Source organism: Homo sapiens, chromosome 8, assembly GCF_000001405.40.
Source record: "Homo sapiens chromosome 8, GRCh38.p14 Primary Assembly".
NCBI lineage: Eukaryota > Metazoa > Chordata > Mammalia > Primates > Hominidae > Homo > Homo sapiens.
The window spans coordinates 912,024-927,347 of record NC_000008.11 but is presented as its reverse complement, the minus strand read 5'-3'; the positions used below and the strand labels follow the sequence as shown (position 1 = coordinate 927,347).

At 48.9% G+C, this 15,324-nt stretch overlaps 1 protein-coding gene across 2 annotated transcripts in view, besides 2 other annotated features; it reads right to left on the bottom strand.

The window, feature by feature from the left end:
- DLGAP2 (DLG associated protein 2) overlaps positions 1-15,324 on the bottom strand; it is a 970,849-nt gene that overhangs the window by 781,129 nt on the left and 174,396 nt on the right. The gene's annotated exons all lie outside the window — the stretch shown is intronic.
- Positions 11,974-12,475: an enhancer, noted in NCBI's record as "H3K4me1 hESC enhancer chr8:864873-865374 (GRCh37/hg19 assembly coordinates)". NCBI's record gives its function as "activates a minimal SCP1, AML or CMV promoter by ChIP-STARR-seq in primed H9 embryonic stem cells {active_cell/tissue: H9 hESC(primed)}" and the evidence as "EXISTENCE:reporter gene assay evidence [ECO:0000049][PMID:30033119]".
- Positions 12,549-13,049: an enhancer, noted in NCBI's record as "H3K4me1 hESC enhancer chr8:864299-864799 (GRCh37/hg19 assembly coordinates)". NCBI's record gives its function as "activates a minimal SCP1, AML or CMV promoter by ChIP-STARR-seq in primed H9 embryonic stem cells {active_cell/tissue: H9 hESC(primed)}" and the evidence as "EXISTENCE:reporter gene assay evidence [ECO:0000049][PMID:30033119]".

Here is a 15,324-nt window from a genome sequence, read left to right as displayed (position 1 = left end):
CACGGTCATTTTTAGTCATTGAATCAACATGTTCAAGTAAGAAAACAGTCGCCACAGAAGCTTCAAGAAAATCCCCATAGGCTCATCACTGTCCTCCATCAACATGAATCCCCCATAATGGATCATGTTCTATAAACAGCGTTCTTACCTTTGTAGGAGTTTTCCTGAACACTCCCCATCTGACACATCATCACCAGCTTCACCTTCATGTAATTACAATCGATTAGTTTGCTCCGAAGTCTTTTACCATCCCGGCCACTGGGGCCCTCCCACGAGGATCTCTCCCACATCGGCTCCTCCAGGCCTCCAGTCCCCGGCTCTGAGCTCTTTCTCTTTCTCGGCGGGGGGTCCTCTGGCCCCGGCTTTTCCTGGCTTCCCCCCACGCTGTCCCCACCCCCACAGCGCAGAGGCATTTAATCCGGCTCAGGGAACACCTGGAACGCCTACGAGGCTCGCTCCGCTCCTGCCACGCAGTGCTGTGAGCCCCACCAGGATTATTACACAACTGCAGCCGTCCTTGCCGGAGGAGGGCAGCTCCGCTGTGTGACGGCTCCTGTGGGTGCGGCCAGCTCTGTGTGCCAGCACCCTCATCCTTCCTCCTGGCTCACTCAGTTTAGCTCCACATGGCTCAGCTGCTGCCAGCCCCTCGGCGGCCACCCACGGCTGCCGCACACCCCCTTCAGCTCATGCCCTGGCCACGGCCGCCCAGGCGGTTCCAGAGAGCAGCTCCCTGTGCCACCCGGTGAAACCTGCCGCTCTCCTCCCAGCAGGAGCAGAGCCCACTGTGCCCTCCAGGAGCCAGGAGAGCAATGGGCACAGATTCTGCTTGTTTTCAGGGTTCCTGGGATCTGTTTACTCAGGTGCGGTGAGACACAGAGACAGAAATTACCATCGTGGATGGAGCAGTGGAAACACACAGACCCCCGACCTGGAGGCAGGGCCTGCCACAGGGCCAGGGCCACACAGGTGCACTGGGAAGGCCAGGAGGTGTGAGGGGGGTGGCCAACACGGGGAGCCCTCACTGGGATCTGGGAAGGAAGAACGGGAAAGCAGGGCCAGCAGGCTTAGGCCTGGCCAGGCTGAATGGTCCCAGGGCTCTGGGCTGTCAGCAGTCAGGAGCATGAGAGCCCACGGAGGGAGTGGTGGGCGTGGGCTCTGGAAGTCGGCTTCATGTACAGGCACGACCACAGGCGAGCCGCTCACTGTCCCCAGGAACCGGCCAGCCCAGGAAAAGCCATCCCTCCCAAGTCAGCGAGGCCCAGACATGAAAGCGTCAGAACACGGAAAATTGACAGCATGGCTAAGACCTGCTCTGTGCCCCCGAGCGGCCCGGAGCCCAAGTGAGTTACTCACTGAGTAATGGCAGTGTGATGTGTTCATTCTCCATGACATATCCGCTCCTCCTGTGAGCGCAACCCCATTCAGTAGGGCGGGAAAACCCTGAATTAATTAATTAAAATACATTTTATTATGCAACGCCCCTGCCTGCCTTTGAACTGGAACACCACATTTTTTCCTGCCTTCATGCTAGAATGGACACATGGGCTCTTCCTGGGCCTTCAGCTGGCTGAGCAGATCTCAGACTCGTCAGCCTCATAACCACATGAGCCAATTCCTTTTAACAAATCTCCTTCTATTCACACAGATATACATGATGAGATTTATATATATAAGCATGGGGTCTACATATGTGTAAACAAATACACCCACATATATCCAACGACTTCCACTTCTCTGGAGGGCCCTAATACACCTGCAAAGCCCACAGGGTTACTCCGTCCACAATGTGGACATCCAAGCTGTGCTAATACACTCTCTCCGCACCCATCCACAAGGCTGCCCCCCAAGTCATGGATTCCTGGACCACCACAAATCCAGCCCTGTCCAGCCTCCACACAGAACACCATCCTTCCGTGAGGTAACTTCAGCCCAGAGACAACCATTCACATTTCATATATGTATATGAAACAAGCTGAGCTGGGAGGATCGCTTAAGCCCTAGAATTCAAGACCAGCCTCGGCAACATAAGGAGACACCCCCTCTACAAAAAAAACATTATAATTAAAAAATAAAAATTAGCTGAGCAAGGTGGTGTGCACCTGTCGTCCCAGCTACTTTGGAGATTGAGATGGGAGGATAGCTTGAGCCCAGAAGGCCACTGCACACCAGCTTGAGTGACAAAATAAGATTTCTTCTCTAAAAGCAATCATACCCAAAACACTCCAAGTGGCCATCACCCACGCGCACCTACACTTTCACCATTATCAACATAATTATCAATACACTTTAACCATTATCAACATAATTATCAATACATCTTCACCATTATCAACTATCAATACACCAATAGCAAGCAATCACCCACACGTGCCTACACTTTCACCATTATCAACATAATTATCAATATATTAATAGCAAGCAGGCCTTCACAACGTCTGGATTTAGTAAGAATAACCTGGATTGGCCAGGCGCGGTGGCTCATGCTGGCAATCCCAGCACTTTGGGAGGCCAAGGCAGGTGGATCACCTGAGATCGGGAGTTTAAGAACAGCCTAACCAACACAGAGAAACCCCATGTATCTACTAAAAATACAAAAAAATAGCCAGGCATGGTGGTGCATGCCTGTAATCCCAGCTACTCAGGAGGCTGAGGCAGGAAAATCCCTTGAATCCAGGAGGTGGAGGTTGCAGTGACCAGAGATCGCGCCATTGCACTCCAGCCTGGGCAACGAGCAAAACTCCGTCTCAAAAAGAAAGAAAGAAAAAAAAAAAAGAATAACCGGGATAAGCATGCAGTGCCAGCTTCCCGAAGTTTCTGAAATGTGCCTCTGTAAATTCACGTCCTGCACCTCGGCAAGGCCAGCACTAAACTTCACCGGGCTTACAGTCCTGCCCTAACAGTCACCACACAACAGGACCCCACAACATTGTCCCTCCCCATCCACCCCACCCAACGTCCAAGCCCAGGGCTCCGAGAGGATCTGGCCCCAACATCTGCTAACCTGCTGTCGGTACTGCCCTCTCGCCTCCAAAAACGTGAGCCGGAGGACAGAGATGGCCTCACTGTCTTCTACCCACATCACCTAGGAAGGGCCAGTATCTCTGGGATTGACTGAATTAACGTCACCTCCTTCAAGACATAATCAGCAGTGGCTGTGAGGGACGTAGCTGGTGTTGCTCCCAAGTGGAGACCCTAAAATGGACTAGAAACTGAAAACCAGAGACATCTTTCCATGAAGCTCCCTCCAAACGTGCACTTCTCATGTTTATAGGCTCCTATCTACAGCCATCAATACGCAATGGATGCTGTCATGTGACATTCATCAGTAACTACGGAATTCAAAGCAATGTTAACAGCATCATTGATTTAACTTAAGAACATTAAGCTGGATCCCTCTCTTCAGAAGATAATTTCTGTTTGAGCTGACCCTGAAATCACTCACAGGCCATTTCTGCCTGCCACACAGCAGCTAAATTACTTGAGTGTGCATCTCATAAACTTTAGACCTTTGGCAGTCTTTGATTGTTTAATTATTTTAAAAGCCAGCGTCTGAGACATTTTCCCTTAATTAGTTACGCTTTCCTCCTACATTATTTCTCCAGGAACAGACCCCTGACATCTGATACAAGCACAGGTTCAATTCAGTTCAAATTAAACGCTTCCACTGACTGTCCCCTATGCACCAAGCTCAGAGGGGTCTCTAAACTGGTAAAATGCAATCCTGATTCCCAAGGAATTCTACGCCATACCCTTAAAAAGATACACTTAAACGTCACCCCCTGTTTCCTTCTTAGCGAATATCCTAACTAGTTATGTCAACTTCAGGAACTGTAGCTTTTTCATTCTGAATGCAGGGTTAAGCATATTGGCATCTCCAGCTCCTGGGCGGAAGGTAATTAAAATGGAGGGTCAGAGCGGCATCAGCACTCACACCCATGCCCTCGTGGGCATCACAATCCATCAAGGCAGTGGCCCCTCAGAGTCTTCCTCCACGCATTCCTAGGGAAAGACACTGTCATGGGACGTGACACAGGAGAGAAAGCTTATCTGCCAAGACTGACACAGACCAGCCGTCTCATTTACAGACATTATGACACAGCCCAGATAACCTGTGGTTTGCTACCTAACACAGGAGAGAAAGCCTGTCCGCCAAGACTGACACAGACCACCCGTCTCATTCACAGACATTATGACACAGCCCGGATAACCTGTGGTTTGCTACCTAGTAACTTGTTCCGTAGTAACTTGCTGCAGTCAGGGAACACCCACCCGGGGTTTGACATAGCTTTTAACATGGTAGCAAAATCAACACACACCCGAGTGTGATACAGAGTAATGCACTCCATGGTAACAAGCATCCATCAGAGCCCAGGGCTTGCAATTCCCAGCCCTGGGCACCTCCCTCTATATTCCAAAACTCCTGGTCTCATTTCCCCTCAAGAAACATTTTATTTTCTTTCATTATTTGTGCATCAGTGCTTAAGATGCCTGCACATTAACCCCAACTCACACCTGAGAGAACAGTGGCCATAAATCAAGTCTCTCCAATTTGATTTATGTGCCACCTGAATACCTGTTTAGCAATGAAACTGCCACTGCTAAATAAGCAAAGCTTTGCTGGAAAGATCAATCACTGTCTTTATCTGACACTTCTGTTTAAAGGGAGGGTATTAAAATACATAGTAAAACTATTTCTATTAGATATGGTTCATGGTTGCAAATAATCAAAGCTTCTCAGAACACAATGCACACTCCCACAAAACCATCCCAGAATAAGGTGCTGCTTAGAAATAATTTTAATTTATTTTAAACCCAACAAACAACAGTTTTCATCAAAGATGAAGTAAGTCATAGTTTTAAAAACCTTTCCCCTTTAGTGCAGAGTCTTCTTTTCAATAAAATGCCTTCCTGGAATTACTTTTAAATTTTGGGGGCAAATATTAAAACTGTCTTCCATCTCGAAATAAGAAATTCGGCATGACTTGAATAACCTCAGGGATTCATTTTCCCTCCGGAGGGGTCCGCTGTCCCTTTACCGCAATTAGCACCTCTCTCTCTCAGAATAAAGTGAGCAGGACTCATCCCATAGAGATACGGTTAATGGGTTAGAGAAGAGAGAAGGCTTCCACTTCCAGCTTAAAGTATTATCTGGCTCACACCCTTACACAGCCTCCACCAACTTCCATGAAAACACCAAAAACTCGGCGCCTCTGAAAACAAGGACAGATCGTCATTTGCTGCAAGAAACAAGGAGCCGTTTCTCCCAGGAAAGTGGCGCCAACTGCGCACACGGCACCTGCCCAGCTGTGCCACACCCGGGCCAGCATGCCACACACCTGTGTCCCACCCAGATATTTGCCGTTTCAGAAATGCAGCCTGCAGCCGGCTCCCACCCATAGGATAAGGCTGACATCACCCCAGAAGCAGCTGTCCAGTTCTTCTGCCCGAACGTCTCGCCGTCCACTGGAAGATGCACGTTCTCAGAGGAGAGCAGAGACCAGCGGTGGGTGAGGACCCTGGCCCGGCTCCCTTGGCTGGCCAAGACCAAGAGCAGAAGAGCCAGGACGTGGCCAGTGGCTCAATGGGAGGCGGCCCGACAGGACTGGCAGTGGGAAGCCTGCTCTGAGCAGCGCAGCCACCTGGGTGGAGGATGGCTGGGTGGCAGTAGCCGTGACAGGTACAGAACAGCATCTGTAACAGCTGCGCTGCCAGCGGAGGAGTTTCCAGGGTCCTCCAGGCAGAAGGGACACGGGACCAGGACAATCCCACAGACTGTCTATGGGAAATGCCAGTGAAAGGGAGGTCTCCTCCCGTTCCGGGATGCATGGGTCATGTGAAAGCACGTGGCCACGTGGCCACAGAAATGCTCATAGACGTGCATCCACACTCAACACTGCAATAGGGAGGTCGGGTCTGTGGACACGTGGACACAGAAATGGCCATAGACGCACATCCCCACTCAACACTGCAACAGGGAGGTCGGGTCTGTGGACACGTGGACACAGAAATGGCCATAGACACGCATCCACACTCAACACTGCAACAGGGAGGACGGGTCTGACCAACATTTAAACCCTGAGCCCAGGAAAGTGTGCGCCACGGAAATCAGGGGAAACAAGTCTAAAGAGCCATCTAGTCTTGGGAAAAAAAGTTATAAAAAAGATTCCTAGGACTATAAACAAAAAAGGAAGAAAAGGGCCTGAGATGAAATCTCGCAGAAGGAGATGGAGATGGTGAGTTAAAGAAGGAAGACAAGGCAAGGATTAAATCTGCATCAAGTTGCGAAGTTACAAAGAGTGAAATGTACACTTAGGTAAACCTGTGATGTGGAAGATGGAGCTGCAGGTGGAAGGTTTCCAAGAGCACCCGGGGAATGAATGATAGGCAGTAACAAAAACGAGGGAAAGTGGGGTGAGGACCAGGATTCAGCTCATCCTGCCAAGTGCTCAGCATGAAGCAAGCACACAGTAAACCCGGCCCTCATCCTCACAGAGTTTTTCGGGCAAAGTGTATCTGAAAATCATTTTTGCAATTATTTTTATTTATTTTTTTTTATATCTTTTGAGACAGGGTTCCGCTCTGTCACCCAGGCTGGTGTGCAGTCCCGCTCTGTCGCCCAGGCTGGGCAGATTGCCCAAGCACGATCATGGTTCACTGCAGCCTCTGCCTCCTGGGCTAAAGCACTCCTTGTACCTCAGCCTCCTGAGTAGCTAGGACTACAGGCGGGCACCACCACACCTGGCTAATTGTTTTTAGTAGAGATGGGGTCTCACCATGTTGCCCAGGCTGGTCTCAAACTCCTGAGCTCAAGCAATCCACTCACCTCTGCCTGCCAAAGTGCTGGGATTACAGGCATCAGCCACTGTGCCTGCTGAATTGTTTTTAGATTTGCTTATTGTTATTATGCACCCAGGATTCACAAAGCAGGCCTGAAACTCTGCTCCGTAGAAAGGGAAGCTTCTACAGTCCTTGAACCTGGGAATGTGGATTTGGGGGCTATTCCCTGATAACAGGGGCTTCCTGTGCCTAAACTGTGCAAACATATGGTTTATACCACACACCTGCTGTCCTGCTGGGAGCCCAGAATTTGGGTAAGTGCCAGGCAGGGGTGCCTCTGTGGGCAGAGCCCAGCACGACCCTGGGCACCATGTCTCTCACAAGCTTCCTGTTGGATGACATGCGTGGTCACAGCCTGATGTGTGTCCCCTCCTGGGACTCTGTGGGGAGCAGCTCTGGAAGCTTCCACCTGGTTTCCCTGGACCTCTCTCCTCCACCTTCTCGCTCTGCTGACCATGCTCCGCGTGCTTTCTCTGTAACAAATCATGGCCATCCTGCTGGGCATGAGCTCCAGGAGTCCTCCCAGTGAATCGCTGAGTGGGGGTGCTCCTGGGGACCCCAATGCTAGTTATAGACATGGGGTGGAAGGGAGTTATTAAAACTGCTACCCAGGTTTCAAAGACATTTCCATTTTAAAGGCATTTCTTAGTAAAGGGAAAGATTTCAGTAGTGAGGAAATGGAAGAAAATATTCCAGACACCACAGAGAGCACAGCCACATGGCAGAGCCTTCTGTGTCCTGCAGAGGAAAGAGAGGCGGGTGGTGGCGAGCACGGCCCAGCAGCTCACACCCCATGCAGGCTGGTCTTTCTGACCATCTTCCCTGGTGCAGTTTCCTCCAGGGACTTGCTGCTTCTCGGCCGGACGGATCCCGGGCACACCGGGGCCCCATCCTGTACTGGCGCAGCCTCTCCTATTCTCAGGACCCCAGTGTGAACAGTGGACTCTATTCTCAAGGCCAACCTGATGTTAACTGGGTGGATGGTGGCAGCAAATGAACACTGCCCAGCAGGACTTGCCTTTCCTTGGAGCTCATCAGCAGTGGGGGAGCTCATCAGCAGGGGGGACTCACAGACTCCACCAGCTTCCCTTCCCCACTCACGCTGCCCAAAACCTAGTACTTTAGGCAAACAAGAAAGACTGAGAACATCAGAAAGCACAAGCATCCTGCCCGTCGCGGCCTGATGTCGGCAGCTCTGTCTCAGCTACCCCAGCACCATGAGGGCACCTAGGACAGGACGGCTGTTTTTCCTTCCTACCAGTCCTACCATATTATGTGCACAACTCCTTCCTAATACATTAAACCAGTTTCAATTACAATGTCAAGTCTTTCCATTTCGGGTCAAATAATAATGTATTTTTAGATGCCAAGTACTTTTTACTCTCAAAATAGAGCAAAGCTTTTTGGCCAGACACAGTAGCTGATGCTTATAATCCATGCACTTTGGGAGGCCAAGAAGGGAGGATCACTTGAGCCCAGGAACTTGAGGCTGCAGTGAGTTCTGATCGCACCACTGCACTCCAGCCTGGGCAACACAGTGAGACCCTGTTTCAAAATAAACAAACAACAACAGCAACAAAAAACCCTACAGCACTGAAAGCTCAGTCTTCAGATTTGAATGTTTAAAAAATAATGTTTAGATCTTTCCAATAACTCAAAAAATATGCTTTGATGTCTCCAATAGCTCATAACTATATCAGTTTGTCTTCAATTCAAGCTAGTTTGTCTTACCCGTATATGTCTACGTGCCTCTATGTCTAAAAAGCTATAAAAGAAAAGGATGGAACAACATTATCTTAGTTAAGAACTTAAGTTGAATAACAGGGTGGGTTAACACAATTGTCTTCCCAGAAACAAATCCACAGCAACTCGTATTTTATCCACAAGGTATCACCACAGTCTTGTTCACAAAGACAACAACACAGAAGACTGCGGTGAACACCAAGTACACCTGTTCAGGATCGATGCAGACACAGCGGGGCACAGACACAGCGTGGCACAGACACAGCCGTGCCTGTCTCACTGTCTTTCACTAAGAATCACACTGTACCCAGTCTACACAATCAGAAAACAGTCTAGAACTAAACGTGCATGGTTATAAAAGCCCATCTAAGCGACACAGGTTGTCAGACGACTGGTAAACCCTAATTCTACGAATGGCTTAAAAACAAATTACCAACACTCACCATTTTAAGGGGCCTTGACTGGCTGAAACCAAATAACAGAGGCATATTTTAAAACAGGAGGCTTAAATCTAAAATGTTTTGAATTTCCAGTAAGTGCATGCACAAACACACATTTCCATGCCCCAGTCTCCTGCACACAGACCCACACAGACCAGAAAGAATGCCTTCGGAATTCAGACGAGGTTGAGATTCCAGAGCTGGGGAAGGCACAAAACTTAGGTAAATTCACTTAGATTTTACACCCGTAGCTCCCAAATTGCAGGGCTGAATATCTTCAGCTGCTCACATCATCCACAGCCCTAGACATGCAACCTACCAAATAATTTGTCTCTGCACTCTACAAATTAATCATTACATATCTCAGAAAGTCATGAGGCAGTCTCATTGTCATCCAGCTTGTATTTATTCATTTTGATCAACTTTACCTCACAAAAGAATACTCTGGAGGCCGGGCGCAGTAGCTCACGCCTGTAATCCCAGCACTCTAGGAGGCCGAGGCAGGCGGATCCCGAGGTCAGGAGATTGAGACCATCCTGGCCAACACGGTGAAACCCAATCTCTACTAAAAATACAAAAATCAGCCAGGCGTGGTGGCACACCCCTGTAATCCCAGCTACTCAGGAGGCTGAGGCAGGAGAATGATTTGAACCTGGGAGGTGGAGTTTGCAATGAGCTGAGATCGCACCACTGCACTCCAGCCTGGCAACAGAGCGAGACCCTGTCTCAGCAACAACAAAAGAATATTCTGGAGACGCTGTCCAGTAACAACAATAACAAAAGAGAATCAGTCTGGGTGCAGTAGCTCGCACCTGTAATTCCAGCACTTTGGGAGGCCAAGGCAGGAGCACAGCTTGAGCCCAGGAGTTCGAGAGCAGCCTGGGGATTATAGGGAGACTTCACCTCTATAAAAATTCAAAAATTAGCTGGGTGTGGTGGCGCACACCTGTAGTCTCAGCTACTTGAGGGGCTGAGGTGGAAAGATTGTTTGTGCCTGAGAAGTGGAGGTTCTAGTGAACTGTGGTTGCACCACTGCACTCCAGCCTGGGTGATGGAGTGAGACTGTCAGGAAGAAAGGAAGGAAGGAAGGAAGGAAGGGAGGGAGGGAGGGATGGAGGGAGGGAGGGAACAATACTGATGTCCAAACCTTAGTGGGTAAAATAGGCAAAAGGGGTGACTCAACAGTCGCTTTACTATCCCCGGCCCTTCACTCCTGAAAATGTATGTGCTTCACTGGTGTTTTACTTTGAAGCAGGACAAGCTATGAAAAAGCAGTGGCTCCACAAGCTTCCTGCCTCTCACACCTTCTTCTCTTCCCAGGAAGGGGCAAACCCTAGAGAGGAGGCCCTTCCAGTCCTGAGGAAGGCTATGGCCCAGGCTGTCCCCACAAGAGGCTGAGCCCTGGGTGTGCCCTCCCGGGCATCAGTGCCAGGATCATCTTGGTCTCAACGCAGCTCTCTAGGAGCTCAACTCCAGGCTTCCAGACCAAATTCCCAAACCAAGATGCACGATCCGGCTGCTTGATCAACATTTTCACTTCCACTGCCCAACAAATCAGCCATTTGCCTTGAAATCACAACAAGTGGGTGACTTGGGTGCCCCTCTGCATTGACACTGGAGAAGCCTGGATTGAGTTTCTTTTTTTTAAATTTATTTTCTTTAATTTTTTTTATTATACTTTAAGTTCTAGGGTACATGTGCACAACGTGCAGGTTTGTTACATATGTATACATGTGCCATGTTGGTGTGCTGCACCCATTAACTCATCATTTACATTAGGTATTTCTCCTAATGCTATCCCTCAACAGGCCCCGGTGTGTGATGTTCCCCTTCCTGTGTCCAACTGTTCTCATTGTTCAATTCCCACTTATCAGTGAGAACATGTGGTGTTTGGTTTTTTGTCCTTGCAATAGTTGCTGAGAATGATGGTTTCCAGCTTCATCCACGTCCCTAAAAAGGACAAGAACTCATCATTTTTTATGGCTGCATAGTATTCCATGGTGCATATGTGCCACATTTTCTTAATCCGATGGTTTCATGAGTGACATCAGCATTGGTGTCAACCTTGGGTTTTGTCATCAATTTCATGTATATATGTAGCTTGTCTTACACTGGAAAGACTTTAAGGTAACCTACAAATACGTGGGTGGGAAAACTGGGGTGGATAGGAAAAGAGAGTGCGGAGCGTCTACAGTGAGGAGGACTCATGGTTAACACAGATGGAAACCACGCCCTGGGACAGATGGACGGACGGGTGAACTGACGGACAGACAGAAAAAAGAGAGTGCAGAGAGTCTACAATGAGGAGGACTCATGGTTAACACACACAGAAACCACGCCCTGGGACAGATGGACGGACGGGTGAACTGACGGACGGGCAGAAAAAAGAGAGTGCGGAGAGTGTACAATGAGGAGGACTCATGGTTAACACACACGGAAACCATGCCCTGGGACAGATGGACGGACGGGTGAACTGATGGACGGACACAAAAAAGAGAGTGGGGAGAGTCTACAATGAGGAGGACTCATGGTTAACACACACGGAAACCACGCCCTGGGACAGATGGACAGACGGGTGAACTGACGGACGGACAGAGAGATGAATAGATGGGGAGATTTAACAAATGACCACACATTTGTTTCATTTTCCAAAAGCTAAGGCAAACGCATGACCAGCCGTGTGATTCGGGAATTCCAGGGGAGTGGGTGGCGGCTGTGGCAGGTGCCACCGAGACTCTGACAACAGTCTCATTCCAGCGATGGGTTTCTTTTTTTTTTTTAGAGATGGAGTCTTGCTCTGTCGCCCAGGCTGGAGTGCAGTGGTGCGATCTCGGCTCACTGCAAGCTCCGCCTCCTGGGCTCACACCATTCTCCTGCCTCAGCCTCCCGAGTAGCTAGGACTACAGGTGCCAGCCACCACGCCCAGCTAATTTTTTGTATTTTTAGTAGAGACCGGGTTTCACCGTGTTAGCCAGGACGGTCCCGATCTCCTGACCTTGTGATCCACCCACCTCGGCCTCCCAAAGCGCTGGGATTACAGGCGTGAGCCACCGCGCCCAGCCCAGTGATGGGTTTCACAGATGTTCCCTCCTCCCAAGGGAGGGCAACGCCACAGCACCACAGCACCATCCACACAGATGCAGGCTGAGTTGCAGAAGACGTCTTCAAGACAGGGCTCTCTCTCAATTTAGGAAGAGATTTCAGAGTCTCCCAATGGGAGGCTTTGCCCGAACCATCCTTCTCTAAGGACCTGGCGTAGACCCTCTCACAGGAACCTGTGGCAGTGTGCCCTGTGTCGATAGTTACACACAAAGTTACAGGATGGTGGAGAGTGGGGTTTGGAGAATCAGAAGATGTGACAGAAATCTACCCTCCTGACACCCCCAAGGATGAATCCTCAGACAAAGCCAAAAATCTCCCAAAAAGTAACTGTAGGTCTATTTCCAGCCCCACAGATCTGCACCACACAGAAAGGTCCCAGGAATTTACACTGGTATATCATTAAAACAGGAGTATCACACACCAGGTTTAGTCATGAACCCTCTCAGCACAGAAGCATCCACAGAACATGCAGCCTTGAGCTATTAAACTTCTTTATGTCTCCACATTAAATTGGCTGTAAACCACAAACCTAGATAAATACGTACATTAACCTGCTCTGGGGTTAATAGGGCCACCATCTATAACCGTGCAATCCTTGCTCTGCACAGAAGTGCCCGGCCCAGAACGGATGGGGGCTGACCCTGCTTCATTTAGAGGCTGCATTTTCCCCAGGGGGTCACATTTTTCCACTCAGCACAAAGACAGCATCCATGCTAGAAGCAAGCCTCATGAAATAAAAGACCTGTGGTCCCAACACTATTGATCCACACCCCCTTGTTCTAGCAGGAATTAAATAGCATGACCAATTTTCTAATAAAGGCATTTCCAGATTATGAAATGAAGTCCTTTCAAGCATATGAGGAACGTGGCTTTTTTTCTCTTTAGCTGGGCAGAGAGAGAGAGGATGCAGGAAAAGAGCGCCCCAGCCCATGGAAGGTGGCGCTGGGTCATTAGAGGCGGGTCACGGGGGAGGCTCCGGGGCATCTGCCTTCGCTTCCTCCCTCCAGCTCAGCCCTGACTTTGCTTTTGCTGTTCTCACTGCGTGAATCACATCGTATGGAATTCTGTTCGCACAACTTGAGTGCTTTTTGGAAAGAGAAAAGGCATTATAAATAATTTTAGTATCTGGGTAAAAAGAAATTTACTTGAAGTATTTGATCTTTCAAAGAAATGAGACCTCATATTTAATCTTGTATGTGTAAATACCACTCCCTGGCCTCCTGAAAACAGGTAACCAATCCACACGTGGAGATTTCCCACTTATTGTGGCAGCAAACCCGTCTGAGGTGCCTGCATGTCTCAGTCCCGGGGCTCCGGGGGCCGTGCCCACAGCCTCCCCATCTTTCGGCTCCCACGTCAGGGTTCCCGGTCCACACCGTGCTGTTCTGCCTCATATGAGACCGGAAAGTCACATGTGGATAATTCAGGACTTATTCAGGGTCATATAGTATCACATACTGACTTAGCGCAAACCTGTATCTGAGGCACAGCTGTGGGACAATGAAGTCACAGGTACCTCTGGATCTGTTTTCTCTTCTGCAAAATGCACACACATTTTCTATCTCACAGCAAAGTTACAGGACTAGTCAAGATGAATGTGAAAGCACCTTATAAACTGGAAAGCATTATAAAAAGGCATGTAACATCTACTATTAGTATAAGCATTCAAAGTAACAATGTCATTGTCTACATAGCTTTAGGAATCCTATGCCACAGAGGTGTGACACTAATGGAGTCAAGACTCATTTCAACATATACGCTCACGCCAAACTCTCACTGCCAGCAGCTATCGCAAACTGTTGTCCTTTGAGACAGGCCCGTAGGAGAGAATGCAAACTTGGCCACTGAGTTTCCTTTATTTGTCCATCATGAAATTAAAAGCTCTTTAAAACCTTTAGCTCCCAAGAAATCTAGGGGATTTACAATTATCAAACAGAACCTTTCCTAACATTTCAACAATGGTGTCCCTCTGCCGTTTTGAACTAAACCTCCAAAGTGCTCCAGTGGCTACTCTGTTTCAACAGCTCTACATGCAGAAACATTAATAAAGTATAATTAGGTCTGCCAACCTGTAGGCTTCCAAAATCCTACCTTGTAATACAAATATACTCAACATCCAAATATAAATCACAAAAAAAATTTGCTCAACCTATGTAAATTTTTAAAAATGAAGCACTCTGTTACAAAGGTTACATTTCAATCCAATATTTCATTTTGCCAATGCACAACTAAACAACTCGCCACCCTGCAGAAAGCACACAGCAACTGCAGCTACTGAGGGGAAAGACCACAGGAAAGTTACACAGAGAGGAAGGCGGGCACCACAGTGCGGGGATCCAGCTCCACAGAGAGGAAGGCGGGCACCGTGGTGCGGGGGTCAGCTCCACAGAGAGGAAGATGGACACTGTGGTGTGGGAAGCCGGCTCCACAGAGAGGAACGTGGGCACCATAGCGCAGGGGTCAGCTCCACAGAGAGGAACGTGGGCACCATAGCGCAGGGGTCAGCTCCACAGAGAGGAAGGCGGGCACCACGGTGCGGGGGTCAGCTCCACAGATAGGAAGATGGACACTGTGGTGTGGGGCTCAGCTCCACAGAGAGGAAGGCGGGCACCACGGAGCAGGAGCCGGCTCCAATGAGCTGGAGACAACTGGTGGCTGCCAAGAACTCACAACTCCATGTCCAGGAACTTCATGGCAGCAGCTTGAAACTGGACCACAGAAATTGGCAAACACTAGAACGAGGCCTCCCCACCCACCCTCTCACTCAGCATCGGAAAGTCAGTTGATAAACGCGGACCAGCACATTGCTGCGGGGACCTGATTTCAGAGTCAGGAGTTTCCATTACGTATTTGCAAATAAGCAACCGTCAGTTCCACAAACACAGGGAAGTCACGTGAAACCTTTCCACCCAACTTTTATACATAACCTGTTTCACAGTCATTTTACATTCATTGTCAATTAGAAACATAATGTATCTCAAAAACCAAACATAGTACTCCCGCATGCTTGATCTGTTTGAGGTTTCATTATTCACTTCTTATTATCAAAGTTTGCATGGGTAATTACTGCTGCCATATTGCAAAATCAATTCATTCTTGAAACTTCTAATTATTCGTGGCAGTAGAATGGGCTGTCTCCTGAAAAACTCAGGATAAAGGCTGTGTGAGGCAGCTAAGCCCGAAGTCAGAACCCCGCCAATTG